The sequence below is a fragment of the Homo sapiens genome, chromosome 15 (assembly GCF_000001405.40).
Source record: "Homo sapiens chromosome 15, GRCh38.p14 Primary Assembly".
NCBI lineage: Eukaryota > Metazoa > Chordata > Mammalia > Primates > Hominidae > Homo > Homo sapiens.
The window spans coordinates 84,980,992-85,002,288 of NC_000015.10; the positions used below are offsets into that span (position 1 = coordinate 84,980,992).

At 43.2% G+C, this 21,297-nt stretch overlaps 1 protein-coding gene across 7 annotated transcripts in view, besides 6 other annotated features; it reads left to right on the forward strand.

The window, feature by feature from the left end:
• PDE8A (phosphodiesterase 8A) overlaps positions 1-21,297 on the forward strand; it is a 158,676-nt gene that overhangs the window by 525 nt on the left and 136,854 nt on the right. For 4 of the 7 annotated variants that reach the window (XR_007064457.1, NM_002605.3, XM_017022310.3 and 1 more), the window contains exon 1: positions 865-1,357. The exons of 2 other annotated variants lie outside the window; for them this stretch is intronic. Coding sequence is in view for 4 of the 5 variants with exons in the window: in NM_002605.3 (NP_002596.1) it covers positions 1,172-1,357 (186 nt within the window). In the remaining variant the exon portion in view is untranslated. Of the gene's footprint in view, positions 1-864; positions 1,358-21,297 lie in introns of those variants that run through there. One more of the 7 variants, NM_173454.1, reaches the window with a different exon arrangement.
• Positions 297-786: a silencer, noted in NCBI's record as "silent region_6776". NCBI's record gives its function as "represses an Ori minimal core promoter by ATAC-STARR-seq in GM12878 lymphoblastoid cells {active_cell/tissue: GM12878}" and the evidence as "EXISTENCE:reporter gene assay evidence [ECO:0000049][PMID:35858748]".
• Positions 297-1,046: a biological region, named in NCBI's record as "H3K27ac hESC enhancer GRCh37_chr15:85524736-85525268".
• Positions 514-1,046: an enhancer, noted in NCBI's record as "H3K27ac hESC enhancer chr15:85524736-85525268 (GRCh37/hg19 assembly coordinates)". NCBI's record gives its function as "activates a minimal SCP1, AML or CMV promoter by ChIP-STARR-seq in naive H9 embryonic stem cells {active_cell/tissue: H9 hESC(naive)}" and the evidence as "EXISTENCE:reporter gene assay evidence [ECO:0000049][PMID:30033119]".
• Positions 6,937-7,026: an enhancer, noted in NCBI's record as "active region_9996". NCBI's record gives its function as "activates an Ori minimal core promoter by ATAC-STARR-seq in GM12878 lymphoblastoid cells {active_cell/tissue: GM12878}" and the evidence as "EXISTENCE:reporter gene assay evidence [ECO:0000049][PMID:35858748]".
• Positions 7,057-7,146: an enhancer, noted in NCBI's record as "active region_9997". NCBI's record gives its function as "activates an Ori minimal core promoter by ATAC-STARR-seq in GM12878 lymphoblastoid cells {active_cell/tissue: GM12878}" and the evidence as "EXISTENCE:reporter gene assay evidence [ECO:0000049][PMID:35858748]".
• Positions 11,607-11,901: a silencer, noted in NCBI's record as "tiled region #10787; K562 Repressive DNase unmatched - State 8:EnhW". NCBI's record gives its function as "represses a minimal TATA promoter and a strong SV40 promoter by Sharpr-MPRA in K562 cells {active_cell/tissue: K562}" and the evidence as "EXISTENCE:reporter gene assay evidence [ECO:0000049][PMID:27701403]".

Genomic DNA, 21,297 nt, shown 5'->3' on the forward strand with positions numbered 1-21,297 from the left:
CCCGGCGCGCGGCGCCCCAGTTTGACTTTCACTACCCCCAAAGGAGGTCTTTCCACCGGCCTCTTTTCTGGGTAACAGCTCCAGGGCTCACACTTGGTGACCCCACCGAGGTCAAGTAGCCGCTAAGTTACGGAGCCGGAATTCGAATTTGGCGGTCGGGCTTCTGGTGGCCTCGGGACGGAGGTGGCTGTGTGTCCCTGGGCAAGTCTCTTTCCTTCTCTGGGTAGCCCAGTCGGGCGCCCCGCCTGTCGTCGCCGCGCATGCTCAGTTGCGGGCGGCGTCCGGAGGAGGTGGCGGGCGCCCCAGCTGCTTTGCATTGACGCCAGCACCCGCTGGAGGTCACCGCTGGGGGCTCGGCGCGGCACGCTGCCGGCAAAACCCGGCCCGGATCACGGAGCCGGAGCCGGAGCCGTACCGCCAGCAACTCCTGGGTGCGCGCAGCCGTTTCTGCGCTTCTCGACGGTGCGGCCCCAGGCCCCGCTGGAGCCGAGCTGCTCCCCTCCCTACCCTGGCGGACGTGGCCCGGCCGCTCCGAGGGGTTTCCCTCGGACCCCGCGCCTAAACCCCGGCCAGCGGGAGCGTCTAAGGCTAGCCTTGTACCCCACCGGCACTCGGCCTGGGGGGGCTTTTCCGCGAGGCGGCGGCCCAGCGGGCGGAGCGGCGTGGGTGTCCACATCTAGGCGGAGTCTGGAGCCGGGGAGGCGGCGGCGGCGGCGGCGGGAGCGGGGCCGGGCGCGGCCGGGAGCTCGCCTCCCCCGGGGGTCGTGCCGCAGCTCGGCGAGGGCAGCGTGGCTCGCGCGGCGTGGACTCAGCCGCTCCTGGGTAAGGAGAGCGCAAATCTCCTCCCCCTATTTCCCCGGAAGCGCGGCCGAGGCGAGCCCGGCGATGTGAGAGGCGGCCGTCGGCTCCTGCCTCAGGAAGGGCATGTTCGGAGGGGCGGCCTCGGCACGCCACCCGCCTAAGCGCCCCCTTCCCACCGCAGCCGCCGCCGCCGCAGCGCCCGCACCGCGATAAAAGGGGCGGCCGCGTTTCCTGACGCGAGATCCGCGCTCGCCGCCGCCCGCCCAGGCGGCGATGACACGGCGCCCGCGGCGGCCCGGAGGCGCCGGGTGGGCCGTTTGCTGACCGGATCGCGGCTACCCGCCAGCGTGTCCGCGGCGCCGCCGCCAGCATGGGCTGTGCCCCGAGCATCCACATTTCCGAGCGCCTGGTGGCCGAGGACGCGCCTAGCCCCGCGGCACCGCCGCTGTCGTCCGGCGGGCCGCGCCTCCCGCAGGGCCAGAAGACGGCCGCCTTGCCCCGGACCCGCGGCGCCGGCCTCTTGGAGTCGGAGCTTCGCGACGGCAGCGGCAAGAAGGTAAGGGGCGCCGGGCACTCTGGGGCCGCCGCGAAACTCGGGCCCGGCCAGTAAGCAACTTTCCCGCAGGGGCCGGGCGGGGTCCCCCCCACCCGGCCTCGGTGCCCTCTTGTCCCGCTTTGGATGGTTCTGATTGACGCCAGTCTCCCGCCTTGCCGGGGCAGCGTTCAGAGAAGGACCGACCCAGGTCCCGCGACCCTGATTTCCTAGGGTTGCGATTAGGACGCCGCCTGTGTCGCGGCGTCGGTTTTTTGGACACATCCGACTCCCGGAGCGGCGGGGCCCGATGTGAAGTTGACTGAGGCGCTTGCATCAATTTCCTCTCCAAGAGCGGGTGTTTGAGGGAAACCCCCAGGATATTCTGGCGCGCCCCTGCAATGTTAAATCAGTGTGAACTTTGTTCTTTTCCTGTGGTAGAAAGGGAAGGGCGACTGGCCTCACCACTCTTTTCCCTCTGTCAGCTTTGCACATGCAGTTGCAGGTTACCATTTTCTTCGGGACTGCTAGAATGTAATCTGGAACATCAGCTTTGCTTCATTGCACATGTATTTGAGGTCCACGTTTATTAGCATACATACTGTATTTAAAGCATATGTAATTAGAAAATACTGTGAAACGCGATTTTTGAAGCATTCAGCAGAACAAAGTTAATCTTTTATTAAGCCGACTTACTGGGACATTTTGTGACTGGGGTTTTTTGTTTTTTTACATTGCGTGTCTTCTCCAGCGCATGTTGCCTTGGCTTATGTTTTGTCAAAGTTTCTGGGCTTAGTCTTTGTTGAGGTTTTCTAAAGGAAAGTTAAAAAGGAAAAAGAAAAACGTGATCATTAAGGCACACAGCAGCAGCTTTCCAGTTCTCTCATTTCAGAATTTAAAGCTGGAACTCATGCGTTGGTTTATGTTTTGTTAAACCAGTAAAAGACAACAACAACAAAATTCGTGCATGGCTGCAGATTGTTGGCTGTCATCCCTCTCATCACGACCAGTTTTTGAAAGAGTAATTTGCAAAATTTGTTTGATTTTTCCTTGCTTGCTGAGAACTGCTGAACCTCCGAAGTTTGAGGGATATAGTTTGATGTACTTTCTGTCTTACATTTCTAGCAGTCGTCATGATACTTTTTCTGTACGAAAGGGGAAAGTCTTTTTCAGTGTTGCATAACAGTTGATTTCCCCACCATTCCCATACCCTAAGTGAAAATTCAACTTTGTTCTGATTATCAGAAATTGAATTCCTTCTCCTATAGATTCTTTAAAGAAACCTCTGATGGTTTAGGCTTACTAACTCAAGGTGCTCTTAATATCAGTGTTAAGCTGTGTGTTAAGCCTACTTGGCTTTAAAAAAGTGTTACACAGGTGCATATGGAAACTTTAACAGCTTTCAAGTTTTCAGTCCAAATCTAACATTTTGCAGACTAATGTGATAATTTCAGATTACCAAAGTAGCCCTTTTATAGTGAGGGGCCTTTGTGTCTTACAGGCTTTTTTTGTGGTGGATTGGGTGTCCTAAAATTCACCTAGGTGTCTTGTAAGCCTCCCCAGTGCAGCAGCAGCTTGCTCTTGTGCTATCGCAGTGCCGTTAGGTCCCTGAGTTTTTAAGTACTTACTTCAACCATTCTTCTGTATTGGCAGACCATTGTCTTGTGTTGGGGGCTCAGAAAATACTTTCATCCTTAAAGTGCCTAACCCAGTGGCATACACATAGTAGGTACTAAATAAATGTTTACTGATTTCTTAAAAAATTGTTAACTGATTGATGAAACTTTTTCAGTCATTGGAATTTGATTTCATAAAGCCTCCTATGTAGACTTCAAAATAATAGTATTTCCAGAGCAGGAGTCAAATTATAAATTATAACACCACAACCACAGAAATAATAGCCCCATACTTGTTATTCATGAACTGTACATGTTGATATCTCATTTACAGTTATTTGCATTTAGGCATGTCAGATAGTAGAGCAGAGGTAAATGTCAGCATTTTTTCTAGTCTAATATTTTTTCTTTGAAAATGAATCTTTTTAAATTTTAAGATATTAACTATGCTCTGGAAATTCATGTTAGAGAAGGCAAACTGCTAGCAATTTAGCAAAATTAAATCATAAAATTAGTTTCTTTGTATTATCTCAAGATGCAATTTAATTCATTACAAAATTTCTTATTAAAACTGTAAGTCAGCATATCTTTAAGTGAATTTCAACAAGAAATTCATTGGGGGATGCTTTTATAGTCCTACAGCATTTAGTAAATACCAGTTTATCAGTGTGGGTGGGAGATTGATAACTAATTGCATTTTTAGGTTAAGCAGTATGTACTTTGCGTTAAAGTGTATCCTGCATGTGTTCTATGGAACAATATGTGGACTGTTAGTATTGTATGAGAAAAGAGTTCCGTGGTCTGGTAAGTTTTTGGGAAATACAGGTTGAATATCCCTAATCAGAAAATGAGAAATGTTCCAAAGTCTGTTTTGAGTGCTGACATGATGCTCAAAGGAAGTGCTCAATGGAGCATTTCAGAGTTTGGATTTTCAGATTAGGGATGCTGAACTGGTAAATATAATGCAGATATTCCAAAAGCCAAAAAAAAAAAATCCAAAACACTTCTGGTCTCAAGCATTTGGGATAAGAGATATGCGGCCTATACTGGCTCAGACTAAGTTCAACAGAGTTCTTTTATGTAGGGCTTGTCAGAGAACCTAATTTCTGAAAGTAATCTGTGAGTCTCCAAGTGGTTTTTAGAGTGTGCATCATTTCCTAAACTAGTTGATTGTGGAGCCCTTTTCTTGAGGTGTATGTCAGGCAGGCCACATGTTAAGACCTGATTCTTTATGTGAGATACCAATATTCAAAGTACAAGAAATATAATTAACAGTAAAACTCAACGAATGTAATTTGCTTCTTAATGATTCCAAAGGTACTTTAGATCTTGCAATATATTAGGCTGGGTTGTCTGTATGAACTTATTTAAGTATTACTAAAAATACCCTCTGTCTGTTTATTCCTTTCGGGAGTTTAAGTTTATGTGGTTACAGATAATGAATGCTGTGTTCAGTTTGAACACTTAGAGTTTTGTTTATTTTTAATCAGTGTGAGTGAGCCTTAACTGTAACATTTTAATATTTTCTTGCCAGTCTTTGGATTTACCCCATTTCCACTTTCCCTAGCCAGGACTTGAGTTGCCCTTGAAAGATTTGCATGTAGTGTTAGAGACCCTATGCTCACCCCCTATCTTCCTTTTTGCAAACACCCACTGCACTGCTAATGATTGATGCTCCCCACACCCCAACTAATCAACTCTGTGAGATGGCAGTCATGTTTGTTTTGTTCACTGCTGTATCCCCCAGGCCTGATGCACAGTAGGCCTTCCGTAAACGTATGTTGAATTAGAGAATTTTGTGAACCAGGCTGTCAAGTTGAAAATCCACCCAGGCCAGGTAAGTAGAAATAGAAGCCAGTTTTAACCAGAGTAGAGGCTGTAAAGTTTGGATTTGGTTTTGTGGAAATCTCTGGTTATTGCTCTTCAGAGCACTGTACCCAGGGAATAATATATTTCTACCCTGTTGAGCAGAGTAGATTTCCCTGTAAAGAAAGATTAAAGAGGCTGGGCGCGGTGGCTCATGTCTATAGTCCCAGCACTTTGGGAGGCCAAGGCAGAAGGATTGCTAGAGCCCAGGAGTTTGAGACCAGCCTGGACAACATCTCAAGACTCTGTCTCTACCAAAAAATAAAAAAAATTAGCTGGGCATGGCACCGCACACCTTTAGTCCCAGATACTTGGGAGGCTGAGGTGGGAGGATCACCTGAGGTAAGAAGTTCAAGGTTGCTGTGAGCCGAGAGTGCGTCCCTGCACTCCAGCCTGGGCAACAGACAGAAACCCTATCTCAAAAATAAATAATAAATAAAAGATGTAAGGATTAGTGCAGCTAAGGTGATAGATAATAGTACAGCTGCAAGCCAACCTCTAATCGAGTGTTACTGCTGTCAGCACTCACTTAAAATCTCAGACATTCTCTAGTTGGTCCATTTCTGTTTCCCTTTGCTTCTGTCATTCACTTCCTTCAACCTCTTTTCTCTTACTTTGCATCACCTCCCGTCCCACTTCCATCTTCCTCCTTGCTTTTTTCTGCTAGCCCACCTTCCTGCACAAAACTGGCCACTCTTGCCATCTTAGTCAACTAAAGTTTAGTGGTTTCCAAATGTTACTTAAGTAACATTTGGAATGGAATAAAATTTATTGCCTGCTCCTAGTTTACAAAGTGGATTAGTCAAAACTTTTTTTTTTTTTTTAAGACAGCGTCTTGCTTTGTTACCCAGGCTGGAGTGCAGTGGCACAACCATGGCTCACTCAGCCTTGACCTCCTGGGCTCAAGTGATCCCCCCACCTCAGCCTCCCAAGTAACTGGGACTACAGGTGCGCACCATGCATGGCCAGTTTTTTAAACTTTTTTTTTGTCGAGACGAGATCTTGCTGTGCTGCCCAGGCTAGGCTCAAACTCCTGGGCTCCTGTGATTCCCCCAGCCTCAGCCTACCAAAGTGCTGGGATTACAGGTGTGGGTTACTGTGCCCAACTGATTACTCAAAATTTTACATTTGGCTAAACTAAAGCAATTTTCTCTTTGTGTGTGACCTGACTGATTTTTTTCCTCCAGTAGGGGTCTTTGACCCTTGCTAGATTATATGGAATTACTGAAAGTTTCCTTTGAAAGTGTAGTTGAGAAAAATGAGACCAAACTTTCTGCTGCCATAGTAAGTGACTACAGTTTATCTCTAGAGCTCAGGGGTTGTGAGTTCCCTCATTGTGTTCTTGTGCTTTTCAGTATATAGAAAGATATTTCTTTATTCATTTTCTTGAATTCCTTTTACATACATAAAATACTTTGCATTTATAGCATATGTTTTTTAGTACTTACTGTCATTGCCACCATAACTTTAAGTGTGATTCTTAAGATAGACATTGTCACAATTCTGTTACCTGAAACCTGTCCCTGACCAGCTTTGACCCTCGCCTTGCTGAGGTAAGGTTTATGATAGGGCCTGTGGTCCCTTCTGGCGCAAATGTTTCCTGTGAAGTGGCTTATGACTGGTTTTCCCTTGGATAGCTTACCCATTTGGATTGGTTCCTTTTTTTTTTTTTTTTTTTTTTAAAGACAGTTTTTTGCTCTTGTTGCCCAGGCTGGAGTGTAATGGTGCGATCTCAGCTTACCACAACCTCCGCCTCCCGGGTCGAAGCAATTCGCATGCCTTAGCCTCCCGAGTAGCTGGGATTACAGGCTTGCACCACCATGCCCGGCTAATTTTTTTTTTGTATATTTAGTAGAGATGGGGTTTCTCCATATTGGTCAGGCTGGTTTTGAACTCCTGATCTCAGGTGATCTGCCCACCTCGGCCTCCCAGAGTGCTGGGATTACAGGTGTGAGCCACCGCGCCCGGCCTTGGATTGGTTCTTAAATAGGAGAAGGTTCATGATGTGAGGACACAGGGTGAGGCAGACATCCCAGAGTAACCTTAAAGGACAGAATATTTTAAAAAATTTTAAAAAAAAGAACAGAGGGATAAGTACTTAGGACATGAGTAAGCCCTCAGTCTTACCCAAGCTTAGTGGCTTCATCCTGGTTTCTCAGTACACTGAGGCAGTAGGAGGTGATGGATTCTGCAGTTCTTAGAGTGCAAACTATTCATATTAATAATAGCCACCATTTCTTGGATGCCCTCTGTGTTGCAAGCACCATGTTAGATGCTTTAAAGATGTTATCTCATTTAATCCTTTCAACCCTGTGAGGTGGCAGGTATCATTTCCCTTTAGCAGATAAGACACCAGAGGTTAGAAACTTGTCCGAGGTCATACATTTAAGCTGAGATTCAAATCCACTGGTCCTGGCTCTCACCTGTTAGGTTGTTGCTCTCTGTTAACTAGCTATGTTCATTGCATTTCCCATTCTTTGGTCTTCTGCTAAGCTACAGATTTCACAGGACAACTGGGTTTTAAGCAGGCATCTTGAATCTGCATTATCAGGATTTTGTTAAGTTTCGACTTACTGTGGAAGTTGGTTACAGCTCTACCTTAGGTTCCTGTGTTTGAGGAAGTTGAAGTCATCTTCAGCCCTGTGCCAGTTAACTCCTGAAGCTAGATATTTTGTGACGCCCTCTGAATCTGCCCTCTTTGCTGTCTGAAATGAGTTGGGAGGGCATCCCTTGGGAGTTTTTTTCCTTTCCCCTTTCTCCTGCTCAGGTTTCAGGCAGCCTGCCCTACCAAGAGTTCCCCAGGAGCTGGTTCTTTCCATTGCCCTTTGCCTAGAGTGCTGTTCCCCCACCAGTGCTGCATGTACCTATCTTCTCAGGAGTTAGTCAAGGCCCAGCTGAAAGCTTCCTTGAGCCCTTGGCTGGCTTGCACTCTTTTCTCTGCTCTTGGGACCTGCTCCTGTATCCGTGTGAGCCTAGGATTTCTGTCTTCAGCCTTCTGCTGGATTATATGCTGCTTGAGGGCAAGCACTGTGTCCTAGTTTCCTTATAGTTCCCAAAGTGCTTGGCACACTTGGTAAATATTTGGATAAGTACACCAGTCTCTAAGGCTGAAAGGGCTTTTATTCATGTTCCACGAGTCTATCTCACCTTGTTTAGATTTAACAAAAGTTGTTGGGGTGTATTCTGTGTTTTAACAGAAAGCTAAAATACCCTTAAGCCAGTGATTAATCTGTGGGGTGATTAGTAAAGCTTTTGCCTCCAATTTTGTCTGAGTTAGGGTTAAGCAATGTTCCTGAGTCCCCTCCTTCTGTTCTACTTTTGTTCTGCTCTGTGTGGTAAAGAGTGGTAGAGTATCATGTCAGAGAGCTGTTTTGACAAGTTTATATTGCATGTCTTAGCTACAGGCACCATGTGTAGTTTGCCCATCCACACAGGAAGGATGTTGCAGATTTCCCAGAACTTTGAGGGTGACCTCCAATAATTTGGGATGGGGGGCTTTGCCAGTGCTTTTATTCTGTATTGGTTGGAAATAGACCTTTGCTGTTTTGAATTCATCCTCTTTCACTGCTTGCCTTCTCCCTTTCATGTCCTATTAGGGAGTACAGGAGCTGCTTCACTTCCTCTTACTCTGCTTATAGGATAACCCAAAGCGCTGGTGGCACATCAGCAGTTCCCAGGTTGTCTGCAAAGGTTTGGTGTTGATGGCAGCTCCCTAGTGAGGTGTTAAAAGACTATAGGAGGAGGAGCCAGAAGATGTGTGTTTTGGGTCCAGCTCCATCAGGCTTTGGCTATGTGATACTTGGCAACTCCTGATCCTGAGTTTTCTCAAGTACAGAGTGAAGCTAGAATACCTGGGTTCTGGTAAGGATAACTAAAAATAATCTGTGTGAAAGTGTTTTGTAAACTCCAAGACACTATCGCATGTAAGGATTGACCATTTTCTTATGAGAACCTTTCTCAAAGGCAAACTTGGTTCAAATATATCTATTTTTTAACGCAGATCTCATTTTTAATATAGTTTTTCTCCAATATTTTGTGAAAATTTTCATAGAGCAAAGTTGAGAGAATTATGCACTCATATGCCTGCCATCTGGATTCTGCAGTTAACAGTTTTCTATATTTGTCTTATATCTGTCCACTCCTTTATCCATCCATCAACCCATTTTATTTTTGGATTCATTTCAAAGTAAGTTCCACACATCAGTATACTCAACCCCTAAATATTGCAGTATGTATATCAAGTACTAGAGCGCAAAATTTGAACTTTGGGCATGGTAACACACACCTGTAGTCCCATCTACTCAGGAGCTGAGGCAGAAGGATTGCTCGAGCCCAGGTGTTCGAGACCAGCCTGGGCAATATAGCAAGACCTCATCTCAAAAAAAAATTAATTCAAAATTAAATAAATTCAAAGTTTACATTTTTAAATGTGAAATGCCATAAAGTAAAATGTGTAAATTTTATGTGTACCATTTGTGAGATATGACAAATGTATATGTCTATGTACTATGAATCTCTGTCAAGATACAGAATTACACAATATTATAATCACCCCCAAAAGTTCTATTGTGCTCCCTTTCCATTCTTACCCCCAGCCACCAGCAACCACTGTTCTGAATTTTTTCCATTATAAATTATTTTTGCCTATTCTAGATTTCATGTAAATAGAACCTTACAGTCTATTCTTTTTTTATAAGGCTTATTTCACTCAGCATAATGTTTTTGAGATTCTTCTATGCTGCACGAGTCAGTAGTTTGTTCTTTTTTCTAATTAAAGTAGTCTGTTACATGAAGAAACCACAGTTCACTTATCTATTCTTTTGTTATTGGATACTAGGGCTGTTTCTAATTTTTGGCTATTATGACTAAAGCTACTATGAATATTCTAGTACACATTATTTTGTGGACATGTGCTTTCATTCCCCTTGGTTAAATACCAAGAGGTGAAATTGCTGGGTCATAGGATAGGTATATGTGTAGCTTTTTAAGAAACTGCTTGACCTTTTCCCAAAATAGTTATCCAATATTACACTCATGCCAACAATGTATAATAAAAGTTCAGTTGCTCTACATCCTTCCCATCATTTGGTGTTAATCAGTATTTTAATTTTAGCCATTCTGGTGGGTGTGTAGTGGTATCTCATTGTGGTTTTGATTTGTATTTCCTTGATGGCTGATGATTTTGAGTACTTTTTCCGTGTGCTTGTTGTTCATTTACTGTATTGCTGTCTTTTTAAAGTTTTTATTTTAATACTTTTTTATTAAAAGGAAATATAAACATTATGACCTCTGGGTAGGGAAGGACTGATTAAGCAAGTTACACAAGGCATTTACATAAAGGAAATGGTTGATAAATTCAACTACGTTAAAATAAAGAACTTCTCATCAAAAGAGAGTGAAAAGGAAAGCGGCAGACTGGAAGAAGACATTTGCAATGCATAGTACCAATAAAGGATTAGTATTCAGAGAGGTCCTAAAAGTCAATAAGAAAACAACCGCCCAGTTGAAAAATTGGAAAAGGTTGGGACAGGCACAGCACTAAGAGGAAACCAAATAGCTAATAACTATATGAAAAGGTTTTCAACCTCATTGGGGAAATGCAAATTAAACCCACAATGAAATAACATTTTATACTCATCAAATTGGCAGACATTTAAAAGGTTGGCAGTATTTTGAGGAACTGCTCAACATTAAGTAGAGGTGTAAATTAGTTCAACTACTAGGGAAAAACCCATTGTCATTGCCAGGTAGAGTTGAATATGTGACCCTGTGACATAGCAGCTTCTCTTCTAGAAACTCTTATATATCTTTACTGGAAACATGTACGAGAATTTTCAGAGCAGCATTACTTTTAATTCCAAACTTTCCTGTAAAACCCAAATGTCCATTAACAACATAATGGATAAAAAAGTTATGATATGTTCAAAGAAAGGAATACTTCACAGCTGTGAAAAATGGATTATAGTTTTAGATATTAACTTTGATAAATCTCAGTGGAGAGAAAGAAGAAGCCATCAAAAAATCTGTAAGTTATGATTCTTTTTATTTAAAGATTGATAGGCTGGGAGTGGTGGCTCACACCTGTAATCCCAGCACTTTGGGAGGCCGAGGCAGGAGGATTACTTGAGGCCAGGAGTTTGAGATCAGCCTGGACAACATAGCAAGACCCCATCTCTAACAACAAAAAAAAGATTAATAGCTAAACAATATATAGTAATACACACATAGGTGTTAAAACTTACCATAAAATCAGTTCAGGCAAATAAAGTTTATTTTAAGGACTTAAATGTTTAGCATGTTAATTTGAGTGCCTAATATAGAGGCTGTAGGAGGATAACAGGCCCTGCTCTCAGGGAACAATTAGTCCTTTCTGGAAAGGTGGGGTAGGTCTCTGACCTGGAAGTGATGATGGCACCTTGGGGGATGGATTGTGGAGGCAAGAGCTTGGTCTGGATTGGTCATAAGGTATAGAAAGAGGAAAGGAGGGAGAGGTTTGACCTGGGCTTAAAAGACTGGGAGGATGTGGATAAGTGGAAAATATATCTCTGGATAAGGGGAAGGAAGGGTACGGGGGTTGGGTGCATGTTCCAATTATGAGGAGGCTGACCAGAGATAGGACGGGAGGTCTAAAAGCCAGGTTGAGGAGTTTGAAGTCCATCCTATAAACCTCAGAGAACTCCCAAAGGCATTTCATTTTCAGCGGGGTAGTCAAAGGATAAACATGTTTCATGAAGATTAGGTTTCAGGCAAAAATTGCAGTAGGTGGGGTGAGGGACAGCTAGAGGTGGGGCACTATGCAGGACCTATTGCAGTGGTTCAGGCACAAGGTATGACCAGGTATGACTAACTTAGTGCAGTAGTTTGGGAGAGGAGGGAATGAGAGAAGGAAAAACTGACTAGTGACAAATTGGACTTGGTGAGTGAAAGGGCGGAGAGTGGAGGGTGACTCAGAGGTTGGGGTTTACCAGCTTAGAAGGACTGTGATAACATGCCACAATTTGTACAGTGCTTTATGGTTTACCAAATGCTATTTTTGTACCTCATCTCATTTGATGTTCCCCAAACCATGGGGAGGTGGAAAGGAGGGATTTTATTTTCCCTGTTTAAGGCCTAAAGAAGCAGAAATTCAGAGATTGAATGACTTGTTCAAGTTTGTGGTGACCACTTACAGAAACAGGTTCACTGTAATAGCATAAGGGAGAAGTCACAGGAAAGCGAATTTAGGGAGTTTTTAAAAAACCTTTCTTGTCTTTTGGTTCTGAGTTCATCTTATAAAAATAAACTTTTACTTTTCCTGATTGTAAAAGTCATATTCATTGTAGAAAACTTGAAACATATAGAAAAGAACAAGGATCGGCTGGGCGTGGTGGCTCATGCCTGTAATCCCAGCACTTTGGGAGGCCAAGGCGGGCGGATCACAAGGTCAGGAGATCAAGACCATCCTGGCTAACACGGTGAAACCCCGTCTCTTCTAAAAATACAAAAAATTAGCCGGGTGTGGTGGCAGGTGCCTGTAGTCCCAGCTACTTGGGAGGCTGAGGCAGGAGAATGGCATGAACCCAGGAGGCAGAGTTTGTAGTGAGCCGAAATCGCGCCACTGCAGTCCAGCCTGGGCGACAGAGCGAGACTCCATCTCAAAAAAAAAAAAAAAAAAAAAAAGAACAAGGATCACTTAAATTGTACAATCACTTAAATTGCACAGTCAGGAGATAATGTCTCTTAAAATGGTGGTGTGTTTCCTTCCATCCATGTAGATTGCTTTAAATAACTATAATTAAAAACTTTTTTGGGCTGGGCGTAGTGGCTCATGCCTGTAAATCCCAGCACTTTTGGGAGGACAAGATGGGAGAATCACGTGAGGCCAGGAGTTTGAGAACAGCTTGGGAAACATAGTAAGACCCCCATTCTCTATAAAAAAAAATAATAATAAATAAATTAGCTGGGCATGGTGGTGCACACCTGTAATCCCAGCTACTTAGACTGAGGTGGGAGGATTGCTTGAGGCTGGGAGTTTGAGGTTGCAGTGAGCTATGATTGTGCCACTGCACTCCAACCTGGGTGACAGAGTGAGACCCTGTCTCTTAAAAAGCAAAAAACAAAAATATTTTTTAAGCAGTTTTGTTTTTTAGTTCTAGGAAACATTTAACTATTATTTATTTAAATGTTGTCCCCTTAAGTTTTCTCATTTTCTCTTCTGCAGCTCCCTCCAAAAGATAGATTGAGACGCATCTTGATCTGTCCTCCGTGTCTCTTCACTTTTCTTTTACTTCCCCTCTCTGTGCTATCTTCTGGGAGGATTTTTTAGCTCAATATTTTAAGTCACGAATTCATTCCTCAAGGTCTACTCAGCTCTTTAGCCCACTGAGTTTTTAAATTTGAGTTTTTGTCTTCAGTCTATGGTTTGCTCTTTTTTCTTAATTGCTTATTCATGTTTTATGGTTGCAGCATACTTCCTTATCTCTTTGAGGATATTAATTACACTCACTTTAAAGTCCTATTCTGATTGCTGTATTAAAAACACTTTTTATTGAGTTATAAATGTAATCAGCCAAGGTGTACAAAATCCCTAAGTGTACAGCTTGATGAATTTTCCTCATGCTCCCATGTAATCACCAGCCAAATCAAGACAGAACATTTCCAGCATTCCAGAAGGCTGCCTTGTGGCTGTTTACTGTTTTTTAGTATTTTTAACATTTTATGAAAAATCTCAAAATACAGCAATCTTGAAGGATTTTTCACAGGGTACCCCTGTGTACCCAATGCCTGTATTTTACATTAGCATTTTACTGTACTTGCTTTATCACATATATCCATGTATCCATTCTTCTACCTATCATACTCCTTTTTCTTTGATATATTTTAAAGTAATTGCAAGTGAGGACGGGAGCGGTGGCTCACGCCTGTAATCCCAGCACTTTGGGAGGCTGAGGCAGGTGGATCACCTGAGGTCAGGAGTTCAAGACCTGACCAACATGGTGAAACCCTGTCTCTACTAAAAATACAAAAAATTAGCTGGGCATGGTGGCAGGTGCCTATAATCCTAGCTACTAGAGGCTGAGGCAGGAGAATCGCTTGAACCCAGGAGGCAGAGGCTGCAGTGAGCTGAGATCACACCATTGCACTCCAGCCTGGGCAACAAGGGCGAAACTCTGTCTCAAAAAAAAAAAAGAGAGAAAAAGCAATTGTAAATGTTAGTATACTATACTTCCCCTTAAATATTTCAGCATGAATTTGATATTTGCTTAGGTTTTTTCCTTTTGAAGCAACATTTACACACAGTGAAATGCACAAATATTTAGTGTATATTTGCTGAGTTTTGACAAACGCATACATATATCTGCGTAATCCAAACCTCTATGAAGTTATAGAACATTATTTTCATTCCAGAAAGTTTCATTATGCTCCTTATTGGACAATCTCTTCTTGCAACCACCCTTCTGATTTTTTTCTTACCACAGATTAGTTTTGCCTGTTCTAATTTTAATATAAGTGGAGTTACACAGTATGTACCTTTTTTTTTTTTTCTGAGGCAGGGTCTCCCTCTGTTGCCTAGACTGGAGTGCAGTGCTGTGATCATAGTTAACTGCAGCCTTGACTTCCCTGGCTCAACTGATCCTCCTCCCACCTCAACCTCCTGGGTAGCTGGGACTACAGGTACGCACCACCACTCCTGGCTAATTAAAAAAATTTTTTTTGTAGAGACAGGGTCTCATTATATTGCTCAGGCTGGTCTCAAACTCCTGGGCTCAAGCAGTCCTCCTGCCTCAGCTTCCCAAAGTGTTGGGATTACAGGTGTGAGCTACCACGCCCAGTGTATGTACTTTTATATAAGACTTCTTTCCCTAAGCGTTATGTTTTTGGGATTCATCTATGTTTCATGTCTCAGTAGTTCATAATATTACACGATTAACTTTTAAAAGCTCACGATAAATATTGTTAAATTGCCCTCCAGGAAAATGTGATGAAATTTTGTAATTAAAAAATCCCTGAGTGGCTGGGATTATAGGCATGCACTACTTTACCCTGCCTTGTGGTCAGATTTTTATTTCATAAGGAGCATGTGAGAGTGCTTTGTGGTGCATTCATCAATCTGACTGTGAGAGGTGGTATTTTATTGGTATTTTAGTTTAAACTTACTTCATTTATTATTTGTTACTCTTTATTTCTCCCTAGTATGTTTTGGACATTTGAATGTCCTCTTCTGTGAATTTTTCATGTTTGTTGCCTATATCTCTATTTTGGTTTTAGAAGTTAAATTATTACTTAAAAGAACTTTTTAATAAGTTTGAATGTTAAATTTTGACCTCTCATGTGCATTGCAAATTTTTTTCCTCAAGTATCTTTTTCTTTTTTTTAGATAGTGTTTTTAAAATTTTTTTTAATTTAATTATTTTTAGAGCCAGGGTCTTGCTCTGTTGCCCAGGCTGGAGTGCAGTGGCAGCCTCACTGCAGCCTCAAACTTTTGGACTCAAGTGATCCTCCCACCTTAGCCTCCTGAGTAGCTGGGGCTATAGATGTATGCCACCATGCCTGGCCGATTTTTAAAATTTTTAAAAAAGAGACAAGGTCTCCCCATGTTGTCCAAGTGGTCTTGAACTCCTGGGCTCAGAGGATACTCCTGCCTTAGCCTCTCAAAATGCTGAGATTACAGGCATGAGCTACCGTGCTTGGCAGGTATTTGTGTATCTAAACATAGAAAAAGTATAATAAAAATACAGTATAAAAGATAAAAAATGGGCTGGGCATGGTGGCTCATGCCTGTAATCCCAGCACTTTGGGCGGCTGAGGCGGGCAAACCACCTGAGGTCGTAAGTTCAAGACCAGCCTTGCCAACATGGTGAGACCCCATTTCTACTTAAAAATACAAAAATTAGGCGGGTATAGTGGCACATGCCTGTAATCGCAGCTACTCAGGAGGCTGAGGCAGGAAAGTCGCTTGAACCCAGGAGGCAGAGATTGCAGTGAGCCGAGATCGCACCACTGCACTCCATCCTGGACAACAGAGCAAGACTCTCTCAAAAAAAAAAAAAAAAAAAAAAAAAAAGGTGGTACACTTATATAAGGCACTTAGCATGAATGGGCCTTACAGGACTGGAAGCTGCTGAGTGAGTCAGTGAATGAGTGGTGAGTGAATGTGAAGGCCTACGATATTACTGTGTACTACTGTAGACCTTATAAACACTGTACACTTAGGCTACACTAAATTTGTTTTAAAAATTTTTATTTCTTCGATAATCTCAGCTTACTGTAACTTTTTTACTTTATAAAGTTTTTTTAACTTTCTGACACATTTGAAGTAATACTTAGCTTAAAACGTGAACATATTGTATAGCTGTAGCTAAGTATTTTTTTTCTTCACATACTTACTCTATAAGCTTTTCTCCATTATGTTTTTTTTTCTTTTTGAGACAGGGTCTCACTCTGTCACCCAGGCTGTAATGCAGTGGTGCGATCTTGGCTTACTGCAACCTCTGTCTCCTGGGCTCAAGTGATCCTCCCACCTTAGCCTCCTAAGTAGCTGGGACTGCAGGTGTGCACCACCATGCCTGGCTAATTTTTTGTATTTTTTTGTAGAGATGGGGTCTTGCTATATTGTCCAGGCTGGCCTTGAACTCCTGGGCTCAAGCAATCCACCCACTTTGGCCTCCCAAAGTGCTGGGATTACAGATATGAGCCAACGCACCCAGCCTTGATTTTTAAATTTAATAATAAATTGCAGCCATTTTCCCGTTTTATTAATTTCTTCAGAACATTTATATGATGGTACTAATGCTGCCATGTACATCTTTTTTTGTTTTTTTTTGAGACAGAGTTTTGCTCTCGTTGCCCAGGCCGGAGTGCAATGGTGCGATCTTGGCTCACCGCAATCCCTGCCTCCCAGGTTCAAGCAATTCTCCTGCCTCAGCCTTCCGAGTAACTGGGATTACAGGTGCATGCCACCATGCCAGGCTAATTTTTTTGTGTTTTTAGTAGAGACGGGGTTTCTCCATGTTGGTCAGGCTGGTCTTGAACTCCCAACCTCAGGTGATCTGCCTGCCTCGGCCTCCCAAAGTGCTGGGATTGACAGGCATGAGCCACTGCGCCCAGCCATGTATATCTTCTTACAACAGGTTTAAGATGGGTACAATTTTATAAGGCTTTGTGCACAAAGACTTGGATTTATTCTTAGAATCTACTTTTAAGTCTTAATTTCAGGTTTTAAAACATTTTAGGGTAGTCTGTAATGAAAAAGCCCTAAATTAAAAATTTTTTATGTATAAACTTGGCTTTAGATAAGTTACATTTACTTATTGAAATCTTCCATTTTCTTAAGAAATCATTCCTGAGTGGGACCTTTGACTTTACCATATCCAACTTACTTTCTCAATTTATGGAGGAGGAAATCGAAACCCTAAGGCAGTTGTGAGACAGGTGCAAGATCACACTGCAAGTATTGGTGAAGCTGGGACAAGAACCCCAAGCTAACTCTTGTCCTTTATCTCATGGCACCTTTTATATTCATGGGAAGTGAACCAGTTACTTCACTCCCTTTGGTCACTGAGATGGCCTGGCCTCAGACTCTGCATGCTCTTCTAATTCAGGTTTGCAAAGTGTAGCCTTGTCCAGCAGGCTTTACTATATCAGAAGCAATAAAGAAGTTGAACACTTGGAATTTCTAAACTTGGATGTCATTAGAGGAGTTGCTAGATTACTGCAAAATGGCTCTGTTTTCATTTTGAATGCATGTACAGATACCTATTTTTTCATCTCAGTTTGTAACCCATGCATTTGGGGTTGGAGTTGGCATGCAGTGAAACCTACAGTATTTATCAATATGTAGTCAGTAACTGTATTTTTGATCAGCTTCCTTTACTTCCCTAACATTTTTAGGTAAAAACAGGAAGTCTTGTTCCTTTTTTCTCCCCAAATCATTATGCCCTGTCTTTTTGTTATTCTAGAATTAAGAAATAGGGTCTTAAAAAGCCAAAAACTTCCCATGAGGTGAATTATAGTAAAGGCTTTCCTTGGGATGAAGAAGTCAGGGTTAAAACCTGTGGGCCAGCAGTATTTTCAAAAGGCACAGAACACCTCTATGGAGATAATTGATAGTTGACTATATGAGCAAACATATACTCGTTTTCAATATTGCTAAAAATCAGTTCTTCCATTAGACACTAATCTCTAATGAGATTAGTTTTCAGACACTATGAGTTAGAAATTATTTTAGTGGTTTTCTAGTCTGACTTCTTGAACTCCATAGTAGGTATTCTCTTGTCAATTCTCCCATCTACACAGAGAACTCCAGTTTGGTAAATTTTCCTGATAGGTCACATTCTTTTTTTTTTTTTTTTTGAGACGGAATCTTGCTCTGTCACCTAGGCTGGATTTCAGTGGTGCAATCTTGACTCACTGCAACCTCTGCCTCCTGGGTTCAGGCGATTCTCCTGCCTCAGCCTCCCAAGCAGCTGGGATTATAGGCACCTGCCACCATGCCTAGCTAATTTTTGTATTTTTAGTAGAGATGGGGTTTCACCATGTTGGCCAGGCCTGGTCTTTGAACTCCTGACCTCAGGTGATCTGCCTGCCTCGGCCTCCCAGTGTACTGGGATTACAGGCGTGAGCCACCGCGCCTGGCCCATATTCCTTATTGAACAATAAAATATTCCCTCATTCATTCAGCAAACCTTTGGTGCTTACCATGGGCTAGGAACTGCACTGGACACTTGCTGGTAATGTGATGATGAATAAGACATGGCCTCCCTTTTTTGTTGTTGTTGTTGTTGTTGTTGCTGTTTTTTGTTGTTTTTGAGACGGAGTCTCGCTCTGTCGCCAGGCTGGAGTTCAGTGGTGCAATCTTGGCTCACTGCAACCTCTGCCTCCCGGGTTCAAGCGATTCTCCTTCCTCAGCCTCCTGAGCAGCTAGGACTACTGGCGGGCACCAGTACACCCAGCTAATTTTTTGTATTTTTGGTAGAGACGGGCTTTCACCATGTTAGCCAGGATGGTCTCCATCTCTTGACCTTGTGATTCACCTGCCTCGGCCTCCCAAAGTGCTGGGATTACAGGCATGAGCTACTGCGCCCGGCTGGCCTCCCTTTTAAGATGATAAGCTCACAAGACCACAGGCTTGCCTCTAATTGTGTGTGTTTCCACTGCCCCCTTGATTTTATAAAACCTGTATAGAAATCTAAACATATTGTTGCTGCAATACAGTTAAAAAGAGCGGGGGAATTGAAATCTGAAAACTTGCGTTCAAATTCTGGGCTTTCTCTTTGGCTTTGGTACTTATTTAGCTGTGTGAGCTGGAGCAAATTGAATAACTTGTCTGTGAGCCACGGTTCCTTGTATATAAAATGTGGACATGAGAGAAGGTATAGGAAGATACCTTCTAATCTGTTAATGCACCTTAGAAGTGACAGACTTTTCTTGTTTTTCTTTGCCTATTAACCAGAATTTTGTTTTCTCACCAGTGGGTCACTGGAGAAGGAAGCTGTGTTATAATCCTTTCAGTGCTGCTGAATATACTGATAATGGAAAAATAAACAGGGGTGCACTGGTTTTCTGGCCTGTAAACCAAAAAACAGTTTTCAGTGCCAAAAGCTGTGTTTGTCTTGCAAGGCCAAGAATGTTTCTGCAGTGTAGGACAGCTTCAGATCCCACTGAATCTCTTGGGTAATCACATGGTTTTGGTTTAGGTTCAGTTGTTTATAGGGCTAGCTTTGCTTACTGTGCTCAGTTTCTGCTGTAGTAAAATAATGTAGGCTGGCTGGAGGTGGTCTCTGTTCAGGGTTATTATGAACTGGCCTTGTTCTTCCAGTGTGCAGGCCCTGGCTAATCAGAGAAGTGTACCTGTCCCATAGCTAGGCTCTGGAAAGACCTTCAAGCATGGCATGTGAACTGGGCCCTGGCTCCTCCCCACCAGGTCCATTTGGAGTCAGTGGTTTCTAAATGGTGGCAGTGAGTGCTTTGCTCTGGCCCTCAGCCTTCTTAGCTTTCTTTACCACTGTAGAGCCAGGTAGCTAAAATAATCTGCCCTGTTTTTCTTCCTTATGAGGACATTTTCTGGAATTTTTATCCCACCTTATCCATTCTTCTGAAAAACTTGTCTTCAGACCTCATTTTTCTAACTCCCAGATAACCAGAACCTACATGCAGAGGTCTAGGAGATCTCTACCCTGCAAGCAGAGGTTCAGAAAAGGAGCAGAGTGAGCAAATGCAGATACCATTGTTCTGTTCCCCTGTCTAACACCCCCTGTAACTCCCAGTTGCCAAATTCAGACTCCTTTCTTTGGTCTGTAAAGCCCAGCCTGATGGGTTCCTGCGCCCTCTCCAGCTTCTTCCTGTGCCTCACACACTGAATGCCTCGAGTACTCACATTTCCAGGGACTTGATAACCTCTGGACTTTTGACGGTGCAGTTTCCTTGCCAATGCTCCGCAAGAATTTCTTCCCAATTTAATCAGTGTAATTAACCAAAAAAACCTCGATGAAGGTAGAGCACTAAGAAGGAAGTAGGTAACTGTTAAAAGATTTTATGTCTGGAAAAAATGCCCCCTTTTTTTTGTATTTGCAATATTCCATTACAAAAACAAAAACAAAAAAAGGCAAGACTAAGATATGATAAAGGGTTCCAACTGTCAAAGTCATGCATGCTCAGAGGATGGAGAGGTTCCTGTGGTCTGCTGTAGGACAGTTTTTCCCTCCTGACTGTTTCACTATGGCCTTGAGGACCCAGAGAGTGGAAGAAGGTCACGGAGAATGGATGGATATCCTAGGGACTGGAAGAGCATGGTGGCTGGTACTGGGTATCCTTGTTGAACTCCAGGAGGGATCTGAGGTTGTTGAAGTGGCTTCACCTTGTTGGGCACCTGAAGACGTCATTACAAATCAAAGATCTTCTGGATTTGATGGTGCACTGCTGAGTGTTGGATTATGAGATCACAGTGAGTGTGTGGCACAAACACACTTTCTATGATCAGCTTGATACGTTTCTAGCTGTGACACCTTATTAAAGCGTGGGTCACTAGCCTGGAAATAACTAAGACTGGTATAACAATAAAGCTGTCATGTATTGACTGTTTACTGCATACCAGGCACTGTTCTAAGTACTTTGTGCATGAACTAAGTTAATCTTATGACAATCCAGGGGGCTTGAGGTTACCTTAAAGGTTCACCTTTTCAAAATTCTACCTTTTTTTTTAAGAGATGGGGTCTCGCTATGTTGCCCATGCTGGTCTTGAATTCCTGGCCTCAAGTGATCCTCCTGCATTGGCCTCCTAAAAAACTCCCACACACGTAAAGCAGCTTTTCAGTTTGTGGACACCAGCTTGGGTGCCCTAAAGTTCAATTCAATTCTGACTGGAATTAGTGTAGACCCCCCAGGTTAAGGAGGCTGCCCCCCCAGTTCAGATGCCAATCGAAAGTAGTAGGTCTTTAGGTTGCCCCTAATTGTTGTCTGACTTGGCTACGAATTGGAAGTTCTCATGACCACCCTCTTGGGATT